Below are 25,454 nucleotides of genomic sequence, written 5' to 3'. Positions count from 1 at the left end.
ATCTTGATTTTGTACAATATTCCATTTTGATCGTTGGTTTTGTTTGTTTGTTTGAGACAGAGTCTTGCTCTGTCACCCAGGCTGGAGTGCAATGGCGCGATCTCGGCTACTGCAACCTCTGCCTCCCGGGTTCAACCCATTTTCCTGCCTCAGCCTCCCAGATAGCTGGGACTACAGGTATGTGCCACTACACCCGGTTAATTTTTTTTGTATTTTTAGTAGAGATGGGGTTTCACCATGCTGGCCAGGCTGGTCTCAAACTCCTAACCTCAAGTGATCTGCCCGCCTTCGCCTCCCAAAGTGCTGGGATTACAGATGTGAGCCACTGCGCCCAGCCCCATATTGATGATTTTTAGTTGAACTGAGTTACATTTATTTTACAATATCTTAGATAGTAAAATTTGACAGAGAATTATGTCTTCCTTTATTTTCCATTTCATTTACATTTGTTTTTCCCCTTCAACAAAGTAATATACGATTGCTTAAATTGTTTTCAAATATTTCAGAAATATAATGGGGTAGTAAAAGGCTTCTATGAGTCCACTCCCCAACATATATACATGTGCAAGATAATCACTGTAACCTGTTAGTGTATATTCTTCCAGAGTTTTTTACTGTACATACACTAATACACATATTACTAATCAGCATGTTTTTAAATGAGAAGGACTCCACCACTTACCAAAATAAGCCCTGATATTAGTGAGGAAGTGCCTGTTAGGGCCACGTAGAACTTCGGTGTTAATGTGTTCAAAAACATGCTCACTGAAAAAGAAAAGAGAGAGAAAGGGAGAAGAACAAGGAATGTATGAGTATGTCAGTAAAACCAGCTCTTTCATTTTTCTCTCTGGTAAAATCATTTATTTCTGATGATGATAATTCTTAGAACCATAGTAAGATCCCATTAAAATGATTCACCATTACATAGGCTCAGAATACTAGGTGTCAAGTAATATATACTGAAAGAAAAAAGCTACATACAAGAAAATAGAGTACTTGTAATTTCTAACTCCCAAAACAATTGTTGATAACGGTTTTCATGGATTCATAACCATGGAAGAGTTTAATCAAAGTTGATTACAAAACTGTTAGCCAAAAAGAGAAGGTGCTCTTACACATTTTGTGGGACCTGCACATCAGAGTCCCTGATGCATCAACAAGCAGTATTTCAACCTTAGAATAAACTGAAAATAGCTATATTTAATATATTAAATAGTTATTAAAGATTATTATACTATGGTTACCCCTAAGAAGGAAGGACAAATTGACAAGTTATTAGGTTGGTGCAAAAGTAATTGTGGTTTTGGCCAGTGTATGATGAGTAAAAGGTTTTTTTCAACTTACTTAAAAGGTTTTTAAACTGGTCATCGAAATAAATGGAGTCAATGAAATAAATGAAAAATAAACCTCTAAAAATGAATGTTCACTGCCAAGCACCTTCTTCTTCTTCTTTTTTTTTTGTTTTTTTTTTTTTTTTTTTGCGAAAGTGAGTTTATTAAGAAAGTAAAGGAATAAAGAATGGCTATTCCATAGGCAGAGTAGCCCAGGCACCTTCTTGACCACTCTGTTCATACCCACTATTCAGTTAACCTTGTTGCTCACTGATTAGGGTTCACTTACAAGTATTTTATACATATATTTTAAGTCATTGTTATTTATATCTAGATACTACACAAAACTTTTATTATTATCAAAACCACCACATACTTACTGGGCTTTTTGTGGGAGTATTCACATTTCTTTACTGAATCTGTTTGTAGAAGGGAATCACATCCAGTCTGGTTTTAGAAGTAGGGCTTTGATGTCATTAGAGGGAAAGGCTTTGGCATCTGTCCTGAGCTCAGCCCAGAAAGCAAAGTAATATACCAAAATGAACAGAGATCCCACGTTCACTCATTCAACAAATATTTTTCTCTGTTTATGAATGAGACAATGGGTAAAAAATGAAAGAATGAATCAGACACAGTTCCCACTCTCTAGAAGACCAAGTGCAGTTGAAACACACAAGCAAATGAGCAACTATTACATAAGTGCATAGATTGGTCCTGGGTGTAGGATTTTATGAAAACATGTTAAGAGGGATGCATCCCAGGCTGGGTGGCAGGGAGGAAGTCCAGGAGATGGACACATCTCAGCTGAATCCTGAAGAATAACTAAAAGTTAACCAAACCAAAGTGGACAGGAGGAGGGATGGGAGGACAATCTAAACAGAGGAAAGGACCTGCCTCAAGATGCCAAGGAGACAGCATGGGCCTTTCCAAGCAGATGCAAGGGTTGAGGAGGTTAGGAGACTGAGCAACAAAGACATGGATGTTGAAGGGTACACTGGTTCCATTCTTTCGTGCCACCCAAGCATCCTCTCAATAAGCTCGCCTCCCACTGCACCTACTCTTAAATGAATTTGTTTGACCTGTGGTATTTCATCTGCAATCACAAGAGACTGGACTAACACAATGTGTTCAGTCAATATTTACAACTCGAACTAAATGGACCTGGAACTTCCGGGAAGGTAGAAGAAGGCACAGAAGTAGTCATCAGCTTACTGCGAGGTAAGAGGAGGAAGCTACAGTTGAGTTGAGGAGGCTTTGCCTGGCCATCAAAAAAAAAAAAAAAAAAAATATATATATATATATATATATATATATAGTGATATGTCATATATATATATAGTGATATGTCATACATATATATATATATATATATAGTGATATGTCATTTCCCATGCAACAGTTTGTTCGTGGAAGGAAGGAGATTTTTTAAAAGGAAAAAAAATCAAATGTGCACAAAACACCCCTACAGCTTATAACTGCCAATATGATTCAGAGGTGCTTAAAATTCTCAAAATTTCCCTCCACACTATGAGTGACCCCACATTCCCTGTTATTTTTTTAAAAGTCAGCAGAGGCCAGGCATAGTGGCTCAAGCCTGTAATCCCAACACTTTGGGAGGCCGAGGTGGGTGGATCACCTGAGGTCAGGAGTTTGAGACCAGCCTAGCCAACATGGCAAAACCCCATCTCTACTAAAAATACAAAAAATTAGCCGGGCATGGTGGGTGCCTGTAATCCCAGCAACTTGGGAGGCTGAGGCAGGAGAATCGTTTGAACCCGGGAGGCGGAAGTTGCCGTGAGTCAAGATCACACCATTGCACTCCAGCCTGGGCAACAAGAGCAAAACTGCATCTCAAAAAAAAAAAAAAAGCCAGCAGAATATTCATTTTGTTATTCTGTAATTATAAACATTCATATCTGTACCATATACCTTTCAGTAGGTTTCTGCAAACAAACTGAACACCATTGAAATCCATTTCTAAAATAGAGGAAAAGATTTGTCTAAATTAGAAGTGCTTTAGTAGCCCTGCTGTTGACTGCCTAGCAACAAAAGCACAAAGCAATGGAGAGGAAAGATTTTCTGCTGAAAAATCACTGATCCACTGGAGGCAAAAGACTCAAGATTTAATCAGTAAGTGAAAAAAAAAATTGAGTTTTTTTAAAAGAGATTAAAAATAAAGATTCCATTCATTTGTTTTTAAGATTATATATCAATAATAATTAATAATTAAAATGTATTTCTCTGGTATATCCATGTATAGGAAGGTGGCAGACTTCACATAATGGTAGGCATTAAAATAAATGGAGATACAAACAGAAAACAGAGAAGCAGAAACAGAAACACCTAGAGAGTAGGAGATGCCCATTTAATAACCTATTCATTTATAATCTTATTAAACATCTGGCAAAAATCATAAGGACATGGCATGTGGCAATTGTGGACATAATGTCAGCACTTGGTACTTGCTATTTCAACCTATGTATTCATGTATTTAAGGATTATAACAAAGCATTTTCACAGATTAGAAAAGTTAATTTTCATTTCAGCTCCATGAGATCAATATTATTCGCCTTGTCTTGCGGCTGGAGGCTGAGCAAAGACCTGAATGCCAGTCAACCTGCCCCCAAGCTCATGCTTTTAGCATCACAGGGGACACACGGGAATATTACTGAAAAGCCTTCAGCAAAAAAAGCACAAAAGGAAACTACAGCAGCCTTTCATTAGAAAAGGAGAGGAAGCTCTAAATAAATGATACTATAAGATAGATTTTTTTAACATTGTACTTATTTTTATCTCGGCCTTTTCTAGATAAGTCCCCTGTGAGCTTGTCATTTCTGTGTGAAGCACTAGAATGGAAAGGCAGAAAGCCACCCTGAGAAGGGGGAGAATCTAGTTTAAAAATTCTTCTATTAAAGTAGGAAGGCTGCAAACTATAGCCCAAACTGCCCTAAAACCAAAAAATATCTTGCCTAGCTTCATCAAAGTCATTAGCAATTATTTTTGAAAACATATGAGGGCCTGATAAAGTGCCTAAAAATTGGACCAGAAAACTGTGAGGTATGTGAGTTGAGACATAAAATGGATATTCCTGATATTCTTTTTTTTTTTTTTTTTTTTTTTTTTTTTTTGAGGCAGAATCTCGCTCTGTTGCCCAGGCTGGAGTGCAGTGGCACAATCTTGGCTCACTGCAACCTCTACCTCCCGGGTTCAAGTGATTCCCCTGCATCAGCCTCCGGAGTAGCTGAGATTGCAGGCACCTGCCACCACACCTGGCTAATTTTTGTATTTTTAGTAGAGACGGGGGTTCACCATGTTGGCCAGGCCTCTCTCAAACTCCTGACCTCAGGTGATCCGCCCACCTCGGCCTCCCAAATTGTTGGGATTACAGGTGTGAGCCACCCACCCAGCCAGATATTCCTGATATTCTATAGACACATCAAGGTCACCTCCATACTTGTTAGGGCTAGGCAAAACAAAAACCAACATGTAACAACTAATCTAGCTTTGTGAAAATAAACTATAATACTTTACTAATGCACTATTTCAACAAATCAGAGGGCTTTTCATCGGACCTGACTGGGCACCTCTAACAGGTCACACTGCTCAAAGAATATCACCTCAGTTATTGAAAGGCAGCCTCAGGGAATGCATCATGTAGAGTTCTGAAGATGCTGAACCTTCACCTGGCATAGTCTTCTCATTTAATTAATCAGTAAATGTGAAGGAATTAAGTGTGGCACTGAGAAGAAACTAAGTAGGCAGGGTAGGTACATGGACTGAAAATTAAATTACCTCTATGGATCACAGAAAAGCATAGGTAAGAGGATAATACAGCAGGTTGAACTGTGGGAAGTGAAGAATCACCCCAGTGAGCAGGGAATTCACACCAGAAGGCTTACTCAGGAATCACGTGGCATGCCCCTATGAAGCCATGTCTGTAAGAAGCCAGCCACGTTCTGGCTCTCATGACAGTAATAGCCTGCCACTATCTTCTTCAGAGTATGAGCAACCCCCGTATTACACTCCTGGAAGAGGCCTCTGTAAAGCAGAGCAGGCATATAACCCAGTCTGTTTGCCTCCTTACGTATATTCCACCTTGCACAGGGAAGTCTTCGAATGAAGGAGGTAAGGCAGCATTAATGCCTTGGAGGTACTGACTAGATATAATGGAATAAGCAGCATGATGAAATCCACAGCATCCAAAAATATGGGTGTGCTTTGTGCCGTGTTCCTTTTAATGCTTTGCTAAAATATGACATGCAAAATGGAAAAAAAATAAAAGTTATTAAGATAATAATCAGCAATAATTCAAAGGGTTAAAAAAGAGTCCCTGGGAGAAAAGTTTAGAGAAACTAAGTTATTTAGGCTGAAAAAAGAAAACAAACAAAAAAACAATGGAAGGGACTTTATATAAAAGCATTATGCCTAGGAAAGAGACCAGGAATAGGAGACCCAGTCACCAAACATGAGACCAACAACAGTGTTGTGATGGCCCTGAGAGAGTCCCACGTTCTTGCAGAGCTTTGGTTTCCTATCTGTTTCCCAGAACTGCTCTGAGGCTGAGATGAAATGTGCATTTTCTCTTAACATCAGTCTATAGCTGCTGAGTGCCTACACTGGGCCAGATTCTGGGGACACAGCAGCTTACAGAGCACTGCCCCTGACCACAAGAGGCTCACAATCCAATGGGTGAGAGAAGCAAGTCATCGGATAAGCAAATGGGAAAGGACACACGAGGAAATTATAAGGGACAGGGCACCAAAAGGAATGGAAGATCAAGAAAAATTTCTGCCAAGAAAAGGCATCTCATCTGAGACTTGTAGGCTGAATAGAAAGTTAACCAGGTAAAGTTACTGATGGCTGCAGAGACTAGGGAACAGTGAGGGGTAGAGCGGTAGGCCATTCCATGCAGAGTACCGCAGCCCTGGGGCCTGAGGGTGAATGCCCAGGGAAGGAAAGTGAAGCGCAGTTAAGGCACTGGTGGGGAATTAGATATGTGAAATTACTATCTAAAGTGACTGTATACAAATACATGGAATATTGATTGACTAGTAGTGAATGGCTAGTCTCAGTTTCCACTATGATGAGACAAATTAACATGGATCCAAATAGCACTTCTAAAAATCAGGACAGCTGTGTGTCTTCCCCAAAATTACCAAAATGATTTTTGGAGGACTTCTCTCTAACAAGTTTATGCAATGCCTAGATGGACAATGCGGCCCAACTAAAAAGATAAAGAATAGGGGGCTTTGGTTTACTTACTTTCTTGGTAAATCAATGTGGGTGAAAATCTCTTTACAAAAAGTATTCGTGTACATTTGAGATTGTTTCATTGTCTATAAAATTTTAAAAGTAATACCTATCTTGCATAGTTGTCACAAGAGCTAAACATAATATTGTAGATAAAGTGCCTAATACGGCAGACCTCATCAAATAATATGTATTATGACGGCTGTTTTTCTTTTGATTTTTTTTGTTGTTGTTGTTGTTTTTTTGAGACGGAGTCTCACTCCGTCGCCCAGGCTGGAGTACAGTGGTGCGATCTTGGCTGACTGCAACCTCCGCCTCCCGGGTTCAAGTGATTCCCCTGCTTCAGCCTCCCAAGTAGCTGGGATTACAGGCATGTGCCACCACACCCGGCTAATTTTGAAGTTTTAGTAGAGATGCGGGTTTCACTATGTTAACCAGGCTAGTCTCAAACTCCTGACCTCACTGATCCACCCCACTCAGCCTCCCAAAGTGCTGGCATTACAGGTGTGAGCCACTGCACCCGGCCTGATTTGGCATCTTATATTACTATAGTTGTAGAATGCAGGGGAGACTGAGCTGAATGTGTAAATGTTAACAATGGTAGTAGTAGCTGTCATATTAGCATTAACTGAGCATCTTCTATGTGCCAAGCACTGTGCTACAGTGTACAGCCCAGGATGTAAAACATCCACATTGTGATTAGTCCTGTGAAATATGGATGCCCTACAAAACAAATGAAGAATCATTTCATAGAAGGGTCCTTTTATCTGGATTCTAGTTGCTTGGGGTAGTACTAAACCTGAGGGTGATTTTGAAAGCAGCCATTTTAGAAGGCAAAGAAATGTCCCTGAAGTCTAACATGTGCTCCTAAATCTCCGATTACTGCCTTACCAGATACCGTGGGAACAATCAATTGAGCCACAGGCCATATGGGAACCACCTGTGATCCTGTTTATTCCTTTTCTTCAAGTCTTTTTATGGTTATGACATAAGCCATGTTAAAGCCTAAACCATAACCTAAGCATGCTGGTTAGCAATGTTTTCATTGCAAGGGATGAATATTCAAGGCCACAGTACCTTCCAGGCCCGAAGACTGGGCTATCAGGGTGGATTAAGAAATTGTCAATTTCATGCAAAGCAACATTTCTGATTTAGTTACTGAAAATGTGCTTTTCTATAGAAAGCACATTACGAGATAAGTTAGTCTAGCAGGGACTTCGCCTCAGACTGTTTTCTCAGACCTCCAAAGTAAGGTAGGGAACACACCGGAATAGTTTAATCCATCATTTGTATTTTTCCATGTGATAATAGAGAATATCATCTTCTCTCATTTCATTGTTCTTTCAACCTTACTAACTTCTCTCTTCCTTCCTGTCAGCATCTATTAAGTAAGGCTGCAACTTTACTTCTGCCCTTCCTCATTTACCAAAGGACAAGGGAATGAAAAATGGAAGCTCTAATGGCTTAGTTTACACTCCTGCTAATTTCAAACAGATTTCCAGATTGCACAGCTTTTAAAATGAAAGAACTTTTCCTCAGAATGACCCTGTGACAGACAAACGCTAAAGTGACTCCAACGATCCCTGCTCTGCTGGTATTCATAACTTCTTTTTTTTTTTTTTGGCTGGTATTCATAACTTCTTTTTTTTTTTTTTTTTTTTTTTTTTGAGACGGAGTCTCACTCTGTCGCCCAGGATGGAGTGCAGTGGCGTGATCTTGGCTCACTGCAAGCTCCGCCTCCCGGGTTCACGCCATTCTCCTGCCTCAGCCTCCCGAGTAGCTGGGACTACAGGCACCCAGTTATTCATAACTTTATGTGACCCCTTTCCCTTGAATGTGGGTGGGACATGGAGTACGGGACTTGCTTCTAACAAACAACTATGTAAGATTCTATGTTGGTGGCAGACAGAGAGATCCTCCTTACTGGCTTAATGAAGTGGCCACGTGGACCACAGGCAGCCTCTACAACAGCCAGTCAGAAACTCAAGCCCTCAGTGCTACAGCAATGATTACTGCCAACAGCCTGAGTGAGACTGGAAGCAGATTCTCCCCTGACTGAACTTGCAATTGAGATAGCAGCCTGGTCAACACCTTGATTATAGCCTTGTGAGGCCCAGAGCAGAAGACCCATCTAAGCCATGCCTGGACTCCTGACACAGAAACTGAGAGATAAGAAGTGTGTGTTAAACTGCTATATTTACGGAAATTTGTTAGGCAGCAATATAAAACTGATACCATCACCAACATAATAATTCATGAAAATAAAAATCAACATTGACATCTGATAATGCTGGCTAATTGCAGTATGCCGAGAAAGGGTGCTAAGATACACCAACTCTATGTGCCCCGAGCGTTTCTTTCCCGATTGTTCATAAATAAAATACAAGTTCTCCCTCTGCTACCATGACATGCTATTTCACATGCTGGCATGTAACTGTCTTTGCAAATGTGCTAATACTAAAGTAGATGCTGAGAGGAGCTGTTTTTTTAATATGGAAATAAAATATCTTCATTTCACCCAGTAAGTGGTTTTTTTTCTAGTCCTATTTTAAATACACAATATTTGCATGTTTTTTAAAAATCAGTTTTACATCAAGGCAGAGCATCAGTTCGATCAAGGATTAAAAGCACAGCACGAGCACTTCTTTTCCTCATTTGTTGCTTCTGCTGCCCCTCTCCTTGCCCTTGGCCCTGGTCTCCTTGGGGTCTGATAAGGTCTTGAGGTTTTATGTATCACAATCCCCTTGATAAATCCTGTGTCATTTATTCTTGAGGAAAAGACATGGAAGTATAATTTTAGACCCATTCCTATGGCAAGAAACCCTCATAAATCATTCTGTCTACTCTTCCTTCCACTCCCGATGTCGCCTAGGCAACTTTACAGGTACACTGTTTCTGCTGTACTGGGCATCTGGCTCTGCTGAGGAGTGGAGCTGAGCACATTCTTTCCTCAGTTGTGGTCTGGGAAACTATACTGGCGCAAACTGTATTGGTGGGAACAATGCAGTGTTCAGTCTTCATGGCACCTTCTCCCTTGCTGGAGGGAGGCCATCTGTCAACCTTCCCTGATATCATGAAGGACCATCCAACGCCCAGTCACACACAAACCTTAATAACCCTCAAGGACAAGTGGAGCAAGATCTCAGACGATCTGTTCCCTTTTAGTTACAGGAAACTTGATAATGAAGATCTCCACCCTGGTCAAGAACAGAGGAAAGACCTAAGTAAGTCTTATTATATTTTTAATTATTTAAAATATGCTTTCATTTATGATTGAAGACTATTTTACAAGTTTGTCTGTTTCTCATAAACTATTTAATACCAGGAAGAAAAAATAAATGTCTATTTGTACACAAAGCAAACCTTCCACATAGTTACATTGAAGAGAAATAGAAACTTTGCTAAGACAAGGTGCTCCAGGCTCTGGGAACCTCTTCCCTACAAGCACACACACTGTGTCTCAATCCTCCATCAGCCAACACAGAGCACCCAGCACAGAGCCTGGTCCACACAGTACTCAATGTTTGATAAACGCTAAATGACTACAAGGGGCAGAGTTCTAGGTAGGAAAGTTATAACAACCATTTCCCAGGACTTCTGATAATAACCTTCATAAGAAAATATAAATCTGACAAAACTACAAGTCTTTGATGGCTGGGACTTTGCCGTGTGTGTGTGTGTGTGTGTGTGTCTGTGTGTGTGTGTGTGTTTCTATCCTTAGACTACCTGTACAGTCTGAAGTCCATATTAGGAAGACTCAATGACTACTACACATTAATAAATCAAGATGGTCCCAGATATACTTATATTATCCTCATATAGCAAGACTATGGCTATGTAGAACCCTCAGAAATTAGTCATGTGGGATAGTTAAGGTTTTATCCTATTAAACCAGACACTTTTAAAAACAATTTCACAACGGAATCTTTCCAAAATGCATTACATACTTGACTTCACCCTTAAAAAGAATGGCCAGAACATATTTCAATCTTTGACTGGTAACTCTAAGTCATCAAAATGAATGTAAACTACAGTACTGTGTTAGCATGCAAGAAAGTTTTTTAAAAAACTGTTGAGGCCGGGTGCGGTGGCTCATGCCTGTAATCCCAGCACTTTGGGAGGCCGAGGCGGGAGGATCACAAGGTCAGGAGTTCAAGACCAGCCTGGCCAATATGGTGAAACCCCGTCTCTACTAAAAATACAAAAACTAGCCGGGCGTGGTGGTGGGTGCCTGTAGTCCCAGCTACTCAGGAGGCTGAGGCAGGAGAATCGCTTGAACCCAAGAGGTAGAGGTTGCAGTGAGCCGAGATCGCGCCATTGCACTCCAGCCTGGGCGACAGAGCGAGATTCCATCTCAAAAAAAAAAAAAAACAAAAAAACAAAAAACAAACTGTTGAAGTGCTCTAGGTTATTGCCTCCAAAAGTAAGTAATCCCGCACAGGTTTTTTTTTGTTTTGTTTTGTTTTAAGTCTTCTTCATGTTATTTTTGTCACCTGACACACTATCAGATATTAACTATTATTATTTGTTGTGTACCTGCTTCAAACTGCCTTTTCTCCTCAATGTGCTACTTAAAAATCTGTTGTGATTTCAAAGGCGCATGACCAGCTTTGGCCATTCAATAGATATTCATATTCAACGTGTGGCCAGGTACTATGTAAAACACTGGTGATACAAAGATATATGATATATACATAGTTCTTATCCTCAAGGAGCTCTAGGTTTTGTGGGAGAAGCAGACATGGAGACAAATTGGCAGGCAATTATAATTCTGGTGTTGCTGGAAATATAGAGCTAGTACTCTTAACTCAGCCATGGGCTGGATGGAGTGAGTGACAGAGTGTGCATAAAGGAATGTTTCCTTGAGAAGGGTGCTAAGTACAGCCCTAAAAGATGTGCACTGGAACTACGTAAAATAACAGCTGTGTTTGAGGGCCAAAGGTAAGGCCTTCCCTTGGTAATTATTTTATGCTTATCTGTATGTACTATACGCACTGGCCTTTTTTTCTTACTTAGTGCTTGGTGCTCTGGGGAATTGAAATGTTTGGATTGCTCAGTTCTTGCAAGGTGCAGTGTCACTGTAGAGAGCTATTACATGCTCTTATGGGGTGGCTGGAGTGAGTGGTATAAAAGGACACTCCCATTTGTTCTTGTCTTCATACTGGAGTACTCCAAAGGGCTCTTCACAGCATCAGCCATGCAAAATGTGCTAGGACTTTTCCATTATCTTAAGGGGAATTTGTTCACTAGCTTCTCATTTACTCTTCCTATACTGGAAGTTATACCAAAAAATATTACAGAAACTTTAATAGTAAGATTTGGAAGATTACATGCTACAAAGCTGAATACGGCAATTCGTTACTTAATGTGCTGGAACCTAATAAAAGGGTTCAAAATACTCACAATAATCAACTGTTTGAACAGATAATTGTTAAATCTAAAATGCATGGAAATAACTAAGAAATGTAAGAAGAATATTAACAAGTATAACGGAATAACATCTATATTCTAAAACATCTTTCATATATGCTCTACATTTATTAATATCTAAAATATATTTAGCTTATAAAAAGTATCATACACTGAACTAGACACTGGGGGCAGAAAATAACATGATAATGAGACTGATCCTACCCTTGAGACAGGAAAATGAGATGGCTACACAAATAACACAGAATATGAAACATCTCAGAAGAGAAGTACAGATAAAATCTAGAGGAAGTAAACATTACTTCCAGCTAGGAGGGTTAGAGAAGGTTAATGAATGGGATGTCCTTCCTTCTGGGCTTGGAAAGAAGGATAAGCTTTGAACATGAGATTAGAGAGGAAAGAAGAGAGAGTATGGACTCTAGGTAGATATCACAGCATACATAAAGGAATTGGATTGGAAAACAGGGCGGATGAGAAGCAGTGGGAGAGAATGCTGGCTCAAATGCCAAGCCAAGAAAAGTGGACTTCATATAGCAGGCAGAAAGAAGATACCATTCATAACCAGAGATGTGACAAAGACAGACACATCTGGTAGCAATGGGGTAGAGTGTGTAAAATGTGCAGCTGCGGGAATTATTTCAGAGGGGAGCGCCTATAATACCACCAGAGAGGGGAGTTGAGCATATCAGATGTTGCAGAGTTAAATTCAACAGGATGTGGCTTTCCCAATGTGACATAAAGGGCGAGAGTCTGGGCATGTTGGTGAAGTGGGGCCAAAGTCAAATTTGAAGTGATTAAAGACAGTGAATAGTAAGGAAATTAAGGCAGCCAGCTCAGCTACTTCTACAGGCAGTCTGGCAGTAAAGAGGAGAGCATTTATCATTAAGTGTGACTTAAGTTAAAGATAAATGGCATTGAATGAGTTAGTAAGTAAATTATGAATAAAACTCATATCTTTTTTCTGCTGCAAGAACAATCAGCCCTTCTATGAAGTATAATACTGGTTCATTCTTACACCAAACTTTTAAAGATGTATGTATGGTTAATCATTATGAATGTGTCTCCTTTCTCTGAGATTCTTTTTTATATATGCCTTTAAGAAAAATTAAAACACAGAGAACTTTAACTGGCATGATTTTGAAACTGACCACTACACACATATGTATATTCCTGTTTTATCAGCCGAGATTACATGACAAAATAAAAATAAATCTATTTTCTATTCTATTTATTCTGATTTTTACACTTTTTATTAATCTACTTGCTTTGTTTTGAAACCCTCTACTAACTGAAAACTAAATAGTTTGCCTTAAAGGAAGATAATATATTGAGTCAGAGAAGCAGCTACAGGCCATGGGGTAGTAAAATTCAAATCTGATCCAAAGTTAGGTTTTTCTTTTCATTATATTCTCTAACAGTTCAATGACTAATGTACTTCTCTTCTGAGGAAAATCTGCCCCGCAAAAGAAGGCCTGCTGCAAGCTGCATTAAGAAGGCTGTCTTCCCCTGGGTGAGGGTGTGTAACCCACGGAGATAAGAAGCCACAGGGGAAACCACCACACAGGCCACTATTTTAGTATTCAGCTGCTCCAGCTGCATGGTTGTCCAAAATAAGCCCTTGGCTTTATTATTTTCAATTCCAATAACTACGTTTGGCTTTGCATTTGTACCTAAGGACCAGTTATTTTTCCAGAAAGTACCTAAAATTATCTCCTCAGGTCCTGGGCTGTGAACTCCGGTTAAATCACAAATGCATCTGGCTTTACGTAATGTCTACGGGTAACAGTCGGTGGAAACTGGAGCACTGATATTTTCAAATATTGGCAAGCCAGTTTAAAAAAAAAATCTATTAAAAGATGCATCTAAATTCCAGGTGCTTTTTGTTACCAAACAAATCTCAAGCTAAATTCATCCCTAATAAAAATGCTCCTAGCCCATGTAAATGGCATTTTCCCCTCTTAAACATCTATTCTTATTATCTCAAATAGTGTCCAAAATGGTCATCCCTCATGGTGAATAATCTATTCATCTGTAATGCAGAAGGAAAAAGAAAGAAATTTCATGTTTTTAATTAGCAATTGTCTAACGCCTAGATCCTTAGAATGCAGACAATGTTTCTTGAGGTGGATCAGTAATTGGTTAAAACTCAAGGTTAATGAAGCTACAGTCCTAGGTTTGAATGAGTCAGTCAACCTCACTCTAAGAAATCCTGTGCCATGAACTCAGAAGGTACCTCTGGCCCAGTTGTATTACAAATGAGTATTACCACTGGAAGGCCAACCATCATGTTACTATAGAAACAAACAAATGTGTATCCCCAAAATGGATGGAGATTGCTTTTGCTTTTCAAAGTTGTTTTCCCAAAACATTTTTTAAAATACAGAAAATAAAACAAAAAAAAGAAAGAAACCATTCCTCCCTGCCCCTGCTCAAGAAAGAAAAGAAAAAAGAAAGGAAAAGAAAACAAGGGGGAGGGAGAAGAAGGGAAGAGAGGGGAGGGGAGAGGAGGGAAGTTTGGTTATTTGATTACTAGCTAGGCTTAAAATTCTATGTCTATTTTCTCTAGTTTTTAATGCTTTAATTAATTTTTTAAATTTAATTTAATTACTAGTTCGTGTTGCCTTTTTTTCTATTGGAATGGCACTAATTTATAAAAGCTCTTAGTAAGTACGTTAATCTCTTATCTGTCATAATTGATGCAATTCTTCCCTTTTCTTTTAATTTCCTTTCTGAGTTTCATTTCCAGAATTTTAACAAAACACTTTCTACATAAAAATCGGGAGGAAAACATTACTGGAAGAAAAACCTCTATATTCAATTTGCTACAAAGTAGAATTTACTGGAATGTCCCTTTCTATCCTCTAGCTATCTTTCATGCAAAAAGCCGAAGGAACACTTTGAGAGTACTTGATAGCATGCAGAAAAACAAAAAGAAATCACTCCATTGAACATGTGGAGTTTCACAGTGCTCTAGGCAACTGTATAGCAAATAGTCATCGCACACATGCATACAGACGCTAGCCATAAATATTGTTTGGTAACAGAAGGGAGAATAAGCAGAGAGGCATGTCATTACATGAGATGACATGACTACTGGTTTAAATGTCTCCCCAAAACTGGAAAACAGACAGACACAAAACACAGAAACCATTAAAATGAGACATTTCTCAGCTTCATCACAGGCAAAACCAGATACATAAATGATGGGAATGTAACATGAGACAGACCAACAGCTGCAGAGAAAATAAAATAAAATAAGAACCTAGCTGATGAAAAGAAATATTCAAAAAAATCCAACTTGCAGAGTATTGGGGAGAGTATGTTTTTAATATAAAGTCTACCTCAGTGTATTATGAAACACAACCTTTTTCTCTTCTGTCACAGAGCACTAGTGACGTTTGGTGTTTTTCTCCCTTCCTTTATTCTTTTTCTTGTACAGAATCAATATGTATTTGCCTCTTATTTTCCTTTTCTTAGGAACAAGCGCCAGGACTGACTTAAGCATTACACAGATAGACATACCAAATTACAGAGAACAGGTATCTACTGTTCTAAAAACCTGGAAACAGAAAAAATGACAACCTAAAACTGATTTGCTCCTACCGCTTTTGAGAAAAGTAAAAACATAAAATATAATTTTATTCTCAAATTAGAATGAAAAATAGAATGCTCCCTGGTTCCTGAGAAATTTTTAAAACTTTTATATAATCACAATTTGTAATGGTTGAAAATTATTATTGGTACTTGAACTTTACTTCCTCCCACAAATAATAATAATGAATAATAATAATGGCAGCAAACACTCATAGAATCTTCATAAAACAACCAGCAATGGGCTAAATGCTTTACATGGTGTCTTAGTAAATTTTCACAACTTTGTGTTATTATCCTGTCTGTATCTAGAGATAAGAAAGTGAAGATTAAATCACTTAAGTCACTTGTCCAAAGTCACGCAGATAGACAGTGGCAGACCCAGGATATGAATTCAGGTACAACTGGTGCTGAAGCCTGAGTTCCTAACCATTGTTCTAAGGGCTTCTTACACTGGAAGGATCCCACAGCATTACTCACCCTGGGTTCACATAAAGCTTGTACCCAAGCATGTGTTCACAGGTATTTCCAGTTGGATTTCTTTCCATCTGTGTTGCCCTCAGTGGTCCAATCTTCCTTTTTCTTACCTGGATGATCATATCCCCCCAACCTGTCTCCTAGATGCCATCTCTCAGCACCCAATCTAACCCAAACTCTACACTGCCACCTGAGTCATCTTTCTAACACATGGGAATTGATCTGCTCCAGCTTAAAGATCACTAACACAAGGCATGACTAAAACAGATGAAGAAACTAATACCTAAAGATGGTAAGTGCTATTCCCTAGGTCATTTTTCTAGGAATTGGAAAATCTGCTGGTTTCTTAGCCTGTGCCTGAACTATGATTGACTACATAGTGTTAGAGTAAAAAGTAGCATTTTTGCTACTGAATTTAGAATCTCAGACTCAAGTATTTGGATGTCTATGATATTCTACCAAATGCCTATGTCCTCTACATACATGCTCAAATAATGTTTCAGCTTCCTTTTTCTTTGATTATTGTCGTTTGTTAATAAGGAGGAGATGGGAGGCGGAACCAAAGCCAGGAAGTTGGCAGCCACCAGCTTGCCTTAGTGCTGCCTCCATATGCTCACAAGGAAATCTCTGCACCTGGCCTAGCTTCTGTGCTGAGCCACAAAACAAACATGAATGCTTACTTTTTTTCTTTCTTGAGAATTAAGAGAATATGCTTCATTACATATATTTAATAAGTCATGCTATATAATCATATAAAATATATATCATAACTCTATATTGTGTGCTAATAATTTTATATATAATAGCTTTAATCCCCTAATAGATTGAACACTACCCCATTCCTATACTTATTCTATTCTATGTTCTTATTAAAATAGCAGAGAAATGTGGCCAGGCACGGTGGCTCATGGCTGTAATCCCAGCAGTTTAGGAGGCTGAGGTGGGCAGATTACCAGATGTCAGGAGTTTTGAGACCAGCCTGGCCAACATGGTGAAACCCCATCCCTACTAAAAATACAAAAAAATTAGCTGGGCATGGTGGCAGGCTCCTGTAATCCCAACTACTCGGGAGGTTGAGGCAGGAGAATCACCAGAGAGGCGGAGGTTGCAGTGAGCCAAGATTGTGCCACTGCACTCCAGCCTGGATGACGTCAAGAGCAAAACTCCATCTCAAAAAACAAACAAACAAACAAAAATATATATATGTATGTATATTACAAATTAGCCAGGTGTGGTTGTGGGTGCCTGTAATCCTAGCTACTCTGGAAGCTGAAGCAAGAGAATCGCTTGAAACTGGGAGGTAGAGACTGCAGTGAGCCAAGATCGTGCCATTGCACTCCAGCCTGAGCAACAAGAGCAAAACTCCGTCTCAACATAAAATAAAATAAAAATATAAAATAAAATAAAATAGCAGAAAAATGGAAGGTGTTCAATAGTTGACCAATTCCTAAACTGTGCTGAAATACATCCTGTCACTAGATATGTATGGTATTACAAACAGAGCGACTATTTAACCAACACACCAGACCTGTCTACATCAGGGATAGGAAAATGCAGTCTGCAGGCAAAATCCAGCCCACTGCCTGTGTTAGTAAATACATTTTATAAACACAGCCGTGCTTGTTAGTTTATGTAATGTCTATGACTGCTTTCATGCTACAACAGCTGAGTTAAATAGTGTAACAAACTGTACAGCCTGCAAAGCTGAAAATATTTACTGTCTGGCTCTTTACAGAAAAGGGTTTGCTGACCCCTGGTTTACCTTAAATAAAAGCAATGCTTCTCTGGTATTTTCTACTAAAGTCCTTCTAATGGCAGAAGAAAATAAGAATATATTTCAGGGGAGTTATGAGCCCCGCTTAAGAAGCACAGGTTTAAATGACCGTTTGTCCAGTTACATCATTTGGGAAGTCGATCAGTATCCCAATGATGCTGCCATTCCTCGAAACTTTATAAAAATCCTAAATATAGCCTAGCATACCTTCTTTTCAATATTCTCAACTCTGGTAAATATTATTATTTCAAGGGTAGATTTACTTTTTGTAACATGCAAACTGTGTATAGCCCAAACTAGTACCAGCATTAAGTAGTCAAATTGGGTATTTCTGGTTTTTATCATGGATAAATTATAACTACCTATTAATGAAGTGGGTGTTTCTATATGAGCATTGAACTGGTTCAGATATCAAGTGTGATGGTGAGATTTTGTGTGTCAACTTGGGTAGACTACTGCCCCTAGCTATTAAACCAAACACTAAGTATTGCTGTGAAGGTATTTTGTAGATGTGATTAAAATACACAATCCATTGACTTTAAGTAAAGATTATCCTAGATAATCTGGGTGGGCCTGGTTCAATCCATTCAAAGGCCTTAACAGCAGAGCTGAGGCTTCTCTGATAAAGAAATCTGACCTGCAGACAGCCGCTTCAGCTTAGACACAAGAGTTCCAGCCTGCCCTTCCTGATTAATGGCCCACCCTACCCATTTCAGACTTGCCTAGCCAGCCCCCAAAATCCTGGAACCCAACTCATTGCCTCTCTCTCTCTCTCTCTCTCAATCTCTATTTCTCTCTGTCTGTCTCAGTGTATGTGTGTGTAGCCTACTGATTCTGTTTCTCTAGTGGAACCCTGGTATATCAAGTCTAAAAATGTTTCAAAAATAATTTTAGTCATCTTTTACAATTGTCATTTTAGAGAATACCAATTCCTTGGATAAAAATAGCTAGCTAGAAATGAAACTCATTACTGTACAGTCACTATTATATCTGAATTCCTCATTCACTCTGGCAAAACATAAATTCTAAAAGAATCAAATCATGTTAAACAAAAACTACTTTAGAGTACTGGTTTCATTTCAGGTGTCATTGAAGTCATAAAAATCATTATGTCTCAGATAAACTATGATAGTAAAAAGATGAATGAAATGATTAAAATTTCTGCTACAGGTCGTGCCAAATCACACTTAAAATAATTTCTATAAAAATAATAAAGGAAATGATTAACACATTGAAAAAATTTAATAAATTGTGGGGAGGCATCCAAAGGTTTCCTGGATCTAAAACATCAAAAAGATGAATAATTTGAGAAGCATTTAAAATTGAAGCATTCAGACCTGCCATGCATATATTATTATCCTGGCCTTAATAAAGATTAATAAGAATGAGAAGAAGTTCTTAGGGCCATGTTAGGTACCTACTATGAGCACACTAAACAGTAGCTATTACAGTTTCTACATGTTAAAGTCCAAATTTTATTCTAGTCATATAACTATTGTTTTAATCAACATTTGAGGTAATACCCTTTTATATTTTCAAGTTATAATTTTTGCTTTTATTTGGAAATAAAATAACTAATATAATTTATTTTCTCTTCCTAGAGTGAGGTCAGCTAAAAACAAGAAAGAAATTTAAAGCATCCTGGGAAGTCATCATACCCTTTTTCTCCAAGAAAATCTAGTTTTGCTTGTTTTTGTGTATCCCACAACACCTGTGTTTGACTATCTTTTTCACTTTGGATTTGGATTTTGGTGTGATATACACAGTTCCAAAAAATCAATGGATAGAAAACTCAATGGCATAAATAAGGTTGGTATTAAAATATGCACAATAGGCTTCCTCTGCACAAATATGGTGATTATTAATATATATTCAACCAAAATATTTAAGTACCTAAATGCAGAATGTTTAAAGCTAGATTATCTATTTAAATTAAAAGCCTGAAATTTGGAATCTTCAAATTTACTTGCTGAAGTCATTCTGAAAATCTGATGGGTTCTTTCTCATCCACTCATCAATCCCATAAGTTCATACATGTGAATTGAGCATATTTTTGTTGTTCTTTAAAAATCACTACACACGTGGGAATTTAGCCTAAGGAGATAATAATAGGCATGTAAAAATATTTATCTTCAAGGATATTCAGCAAAAATATATCTATAAATATATTATTTGCAAAAGCAAAAAAACCTAAAAACTAAATATACAACAAGAAAAATGGTTAAATATTAAATATCTATATGATAGAATAGTATGCAGCCATTAAAAATCAAGTTATAAATGACAGGAAAATGATCACTCCATTTTAGTTTAGAAAGCAAATTATATAAGTGTGTGTAGTTTGACATCTTTTGTTTAAAGTGTATAGATGATACGTTAGCTATCTGTATAGGTACACAAACATAAGGACAGTTTCTGTAACATGTATCACTGAAAAATGGAATGACAAGCGGATCACGAGGTCAGGAGATCGAGACCATCCTGGCTAAAACGGTGAAACCCCGTCTCTACTAAAAATACAAAAAATTAGCCGGGCGTAGTGGCGGGCGCCTGTAGTCCCAGCTACTTGGGAGGCTGAGGCAGGAGAATGGCGTGAACCCGGGAGGCGGAGCTTGCGGTGAGCCGAGATCCCGCCACTGCACTCCAGCCTGGGCGACAGAGCGAGACTCCGTCTCAAAAAAAAAAAAAAAAAAAAAAAAAAAAAAGGAATGACAAACATTCCAATAGTGCTCAACTCCAAATGGTAGAACTGTAAGTGATTTTTTTTCTTCACTACAGACTTGAAATTTTCTACTCTATGTACTAGTGGTGTATTTTAATCAGTGGAAGAAAAGGTTTCTTAAGCATGACATAAAACTAGAATCCATTAAGTAGTTGTCTTTGGAGGATAGAATTACATGGAACTTTTATTTTACACACTTTTTCCATTTTCTCTAGTCTTAAATATTTTTAAACACACTTGTTTTATTTTGGTAACAAATAAAAGCATATATAGCTTTAAAAACAAACAATACAGGCTATTTTCTAAAGCAGGAATTTAGGGGAATTTTCAAAAAATATTTCAGTTTTATTTCAGTTAAAACAAGTTATTTAAGAATAAGTTGACAGAATAATAGCAGCAACAACATCAAGAAGAAAATCCTCCTGTCTTAAAAAGTTTTTCTAAAAGAACCAATGAGAAAAAGTATTTATATGTGTATATGTAACCTGAATTCTAGTTTTAGAAAGATAGTACATGAACATGAAACAATTTTTACAGTTTGCTACAATCACAAAATCCTGTATGAAATTATAGTTGTCCCTCAATACCCATGGAGGACTGGTTCTAGGAATCCCCTCACCCTGTGGACCCCAAAAGCAGAGGATGCTCAAGTCTGTTACATAAAATGTCATAGTATTTGCTTATAACTTATGCACATCCTCCTGTATACTTTAAACCATATCTAGATTACTCATAATACCTAATACAATATAAATGCTACATAAATAGCATTTACTCTATTGTTTTACTCTATTGTTTAGGGAGTAATGAGTAAAAAACAAATGCTATCCATGTTTAGTACAGACGCAACCATGCATTTTTTTCAGAATATTATTTTCAATATGCCATTGACTGAATGAATCTGCAGATGTGGAATCTGCAGATTCTTGGGGCAGACGGCATTTGTTTCAGTGCATTTGTGACTACATATGAATAACACATAGATTTATTGAAGAACCTAAAAGAGAATGAGAGGCACTTAGGAAACCAACAACTCTGACTTAATATGAGCAGAATGCACCCAAGCACTATCCTCCAACCTTCAGTGTCACAGTGGGCTGGTGTCATGACTTAATTGCTGAGTTACAGCTAATTATAAGGTAAATGAAACACTAAAAGAGAATTCACCCCAACCAATTAACTGAGTGGTTATTAATTGTACTGGAATGTCCTACATATGCTAATTCAAACCCATAACAACATCCATACAACCATGACTCTTCTTGTTCTATCCTTTTTCAAGCTTTATAATAGTAGAAATGACCCTGATGCAAAGCATCTATCTTGCTACCATGTGGCTGACATTCAGCTCTGTCCAGCTCGACATAAATTTCTATGCCTCACTCTGGGTTTTAAGCAGTAACTTAAAACTGCATGATTACTGCATGGTAACAAATTGATAATAGCATAATAATTACATTAGAAAGAATGAAAGTAACATGTTAACTTGGATTCACAATGCTTATATGATAACCAAATACATGCTATTCATCTGTTTCACCAGATATATGGATTAATTAGCAACTAATGAGCAATGCTCCTAAAACTAAAGTTGTAAAAACATAATTATAGTTTTTGAAATCTTTGCTTTTCTATTCTACTGTTAAATTGTTAAAATGCCCAGCTGCACCTTCTCAACATCAAGGAGTTACAAGCTATGCTTTGGATTTGATGCCAGTTGTATAAAACTACTACATGAACATGGCTGCACCTATGAGTTCTTCTCTCTGTCCTTCAGTCCCTTCTAGCCACATGGAACCTTGTTTCCTAGAAAAGATTTAGGGATCAGATTTGTTCTCTCTTGGGCTAATAGCTTAATGTCTCTGGGTCAATTTTTCTTATCTATAGATTGAGAGATTTGAACTACAAGGCTCTTTTCACCTCTGAGACAAATGACAAATCTCTAATGACAACTCCAGCATAGCACTTAAGTGAAGAATCCAAAACCTTTTGCAACTCATATCACAAAGGGCTAATCTCACTAATAAATATAGTTCTTAGCAATCAATATCACATTCCAGCCTGGGGGACAGAGCAAGACCCTGTCTCAAAAAAAAAAAAAAAAAAAGAAAGAAATCAATACCTCTTTCACAACAGAACTCAAACCCACACTGATTACATTGGCAAAAATCCAAAAATTTGATAACATAGGTATTTTTTTCAGGTTTGCTTAAAATGAGGCAAATCCACATGCAGCCTATAATAACTATTATTACTACTACAACATATTATCCATTCTAAATGGTTAAACTCAATGAAATTGTCATCTGGAGCTATTATGGCTTGCATTATAACACCTATTTAACACAATGTCTGCAGTAGCATAAAAGCAGAGTTACTGGATTCCTAAATGTGACTCTTTCTCTGGTTTGAGGACAGTCCTTTAGAATCTTCAATAAATATGTGTGCTAGCCATACCCTGTCATAGATGTATATGTTATACTTCTACCTTCCTCTAAGTGATGTTACAGAAAATAATAAGACAATATTTATAAATCACTGAGAATTCCTGATGATGGGGACAGGAGGCAGATAAATTCTAGACAGAAAAGGGCAGGTCCATGGCAAAGCCCCACCCTCCAGCTGAAAAACCTGAAACCACGGCCCAAAGTGAGAACTTATATCCCTGTTTTCCCACTCAAATGTTCCCTTTTCCTAAACTGCCCATGGTCTGCCCCACCCCGCATCCTGTGCCTATAAAAACCCTAGACTCAGGCAGCAGAGAAAGGAGAAGCCTCTGGACATCAGAGACTACAGCTGGACATCGCAGAGAAGTGGCTTGACTTCGGAGACACAGCTTGACGACATTACTTCAAAAAAGAATCTGGCTGGAGACAGCCAGACTCCAGGGGAAGATTACATAGCCCCCTGTCCCCTTTTCAGCTCCCCTTTCCACTGAGAGCCACTTTCATCATCAAGAAAAATTCCCCACATTTACCATCCAATTCGTTTGTGTAAACTTGTTTCTCCTGGGTGCCAGACAAGAGCTCAGGAGCCATGAATGCAGATACAAAAGGCTGTCACACTGGCCCTTTGCCCTCACTGGCAGAGGACAGCCGCCTCATGTGAAAGGGTGGAGGGCCCTCTGAGCTGTTAACACTTAAGCCATCCGTGGATGGCAGAGCTAAAAGGGCACTGTAACATGCCTCCTGGGGCTTCAGGAGTCGCAGGGATCCTGCCTGGATGCTGCCACAAGGCCTGCACAGAGTTCGCTCCTACCAGTGCCCAAAAGTGCTCACTCCAGCTCCTGTACCCACTCACCTGGGTGCTCCCTCCCACAAGGGGTGGAAGGCAGTGGGTCTGAGTGGAGTTTGATCCTGCCAGTGCCCAAGTGGCCAGCTGACTCCAGCGCTCATGCACTCCAGTTCCTACCTTGTTTGCTCGCATACTCCCTCCCATAAGGAGTTGAGAGCAGCAGGCTGAGTAAACAAGGCACCTGTTGCGAGACCCATTAAGGGGTCAAGGAAATATCCTGCCTCACTAGCAAGAAATACTAAGAAGTTTTGGGTGTATGTGTATACATACACATATATTGGATTGGCTAATTTGTAAATTGGTATCCTGATCAGCTAAATCCCAAATTGATAATCTGGAAATGAAAAATCTACTTTCAGTTTCACCACAGATTTATCAAGATAGTTTCTGTACCACCTTTGTTTTATAATCTATTTTTTAAATTGTTACTGAAACACCGGAGGTTTGGTCTAGGTCCTGCTGCTCGCCACACTGAAAGCCAATCACTAAGGTGGCAAGTATTGCCAAGGAAGAAGGCTTTAATCAGGTGCTGTAGCTGAGGAGATGGGAGTTCAGTCTCAAATCCATCTCCCTGACTGATTAAACCAGGAGTTTATATAGCAGGTAAGCAATGTAACAATGTGTAAGAAACCAGGAAGTTGGGAGGGGCAAAGAAGCAAACATGGTGAATGAGGGGATCTCTTGGCATATGGTGCAGGGATCTGGTTTCAGTTCTTTGGTACTTTGTGTGAGAGGCCTAAAGGTAGTTTCCTGAGGAAGGAACTCAAGAGAAATCAAATATAAGTTTCAACTTTTTTAATGCCAGAAGGGTCAATTTCTATGTTTATCAAAAAGAACAGTCTATGGGGCAATTGGGCTGGTTTCAAAATGAGATATCTTGAAATTCTCTTATTTTTGAGAAAGATCAGGATAAATTATTGACTTATGGGAATCCCCTGCAATTTACGAAGCAACTGTTCTAGAAAACTCTAAAGGCAGGGAGATGACAGGATGTATGTTCTTCTCCAGCTCTCTTTTTTCACACTGGTTCAGGCCTCACACAGACAGGCCTGGAAGCAGGAAAAAGTACAATGTGGAGGAGAGCAAACAAACACATCTTTCCATCTCTCACTTCTTCCTGACATCCAGAGGAGTGGATGGCAGGGAAACAATGGGCTGTGCTGAGAGGCTGAACTTCTCAGTCTTCCAATTAGTCCAAATATCTTAATTTGGGAGCAAAGAAACGTGTAGCCACTACATTATCTCGCTCTACCTCCCATTCTAATCCTTCTCTACCTACCTCCACTCCTTTATTTCTGTAGGTACAACTTCTACCATGAAACAAAATAAAAATTGTCACTATGTTAATTGAGTTCAATGGCATATAATATATATTCAAAATAAGAAAAAATAAACCTTTGAACTATGAGTGCTTATGAACTTAAGTAACATTAAGGATACTGGCCATTAGTATAAATTTTCATGAATAGGATATATTTTAATAGATTTGCAATATGTTTTAGAGTAATTATTTTCATCTTTATTCCTCACAAAAATCCTTAGGAAGGAATAAAAATTATCCTCACCATATTAGCATACCACTGGT

The 25,454-nt window shown here is 38.5% G+C and overlaps 1 protein-coding gene and 2 long non-coding RNA genes across 19 annotated transcripts in view, besides 2 other annotated features; 2 read left to right on the top strand and 1 right to left on the bottom strand.

Annotated features, from left to right (window-relative positions):
• Positions 1-25,454, bottom strand: part of ST7 (suppression of tumorigenicity 7) — a 276,676-nt gene that overhangs the window by 129,650 nt on the left and 121,572 nt on the right. For 13 of the 17 annotated variants that reach the window (NR_161420.1, NR_161421.1, NR_161418.1 and 10 more), the window contains exon 2: positions 683-765. The exons of 2 other annotated variants lie outside the window; for them this stretch is intronic. Coding sequence is in view for 11 of the 15 variants with exons in the window: in NM_001369598.1 (NP_001356527.1) it covers positions 683-765 (83 nt within the window). In the remaining 4 variants the exon portion in view is untranslated. Of the gene's footprint in view, positions 1-682; positions 766-1,711; positions 1,915-25,454 lie in introns of all 17 variants that reach the window. 2 more of the 17 variants (NM_001369607.1, NM_001369606.1) reach the window with 1 other exon arrangement.
• The window catches only part of ST7-AS2 (ST7 antisense RNA 2), a 73,521-nt gene that overhangs the window by 45,066 nt on the left and 3,001 nt on the right, over positions 1-25,454 (top strand). Inside the window, exons 1-2 of the long non-coding RNA NR_109980.1 lie at positions 9,746-9,805; positions 19,455-19,662. This is a non-coding gene — a long non-coding RNA (ST7 antisense RNA 2). Of the gene's footprint in view, positions 9,806-19,454; positions 19,663-25,454 lie in introns of the transcript that reaches the window.
• Positions 148-9,095, top strand: LOC124901732 (uncharacterized). The gene is made up of 4 exons (XR_007060490.1): positions 148-177; positions 3,268-3,461; positions 7,960-8,175; positions 8,487-9,095. It is a non-coding gene; the product is annotated as an uncharacterized LOC124901732 (long non-coding RNA).
• Positions 11,142-11,782: an enhancer blocking element, noted in NCBI's record as "nonconserved region 4 (NR4) negative regulatory element (NRE) in the greater CFTR locus". NCBI's record gives its function as "strongly blocks activation of an SV40 promoter by the HS2 beta-globin enhancer when located between the enhancer and promoter in the forward orientation in transfected K562 and 293T cells {active_cell/tissue: 293T | K562}" and the evidence as "EXISTENCE:reporter gene assay evidence [ECO:0000049][PMID:18436892]".
• Positions 23,279-23,778: an enhancer, noted in NCBI's record as "H3K27ac hESC enhancer chr7:116716803-116717302 (GRCh37/hg19 assembly coordinates)". NCBI's record gives its function as "activates a minimal SCP1, AML or CMV promoter by ChIP-STARR-seq in primed H9 embryonic stem cells {active_cell/tissue: H9 hESC(primed)}" and the evidence as "EXISTENCE:reporter gene assay evidence [ECO:0000049][PMID:30033119]".

The sequence above is a fragment of the Homo sapiens genome, chromosome 7, assembly GCF_000001405.40.
Source record: "Homo sapiens chromosome 7, GRCh38.p14 Primary Assembly".
In the NCBI taxonomy this organism is placed as follows: domain Eukaryota; kingdom Metazoa; phylum Chordata; class Mammalia; order Primates; family Hominidae; genus Homo; species Homo sapiens.
This window is presented reverse-complemented; position numbering and strand designations above follow the sequence as displayed.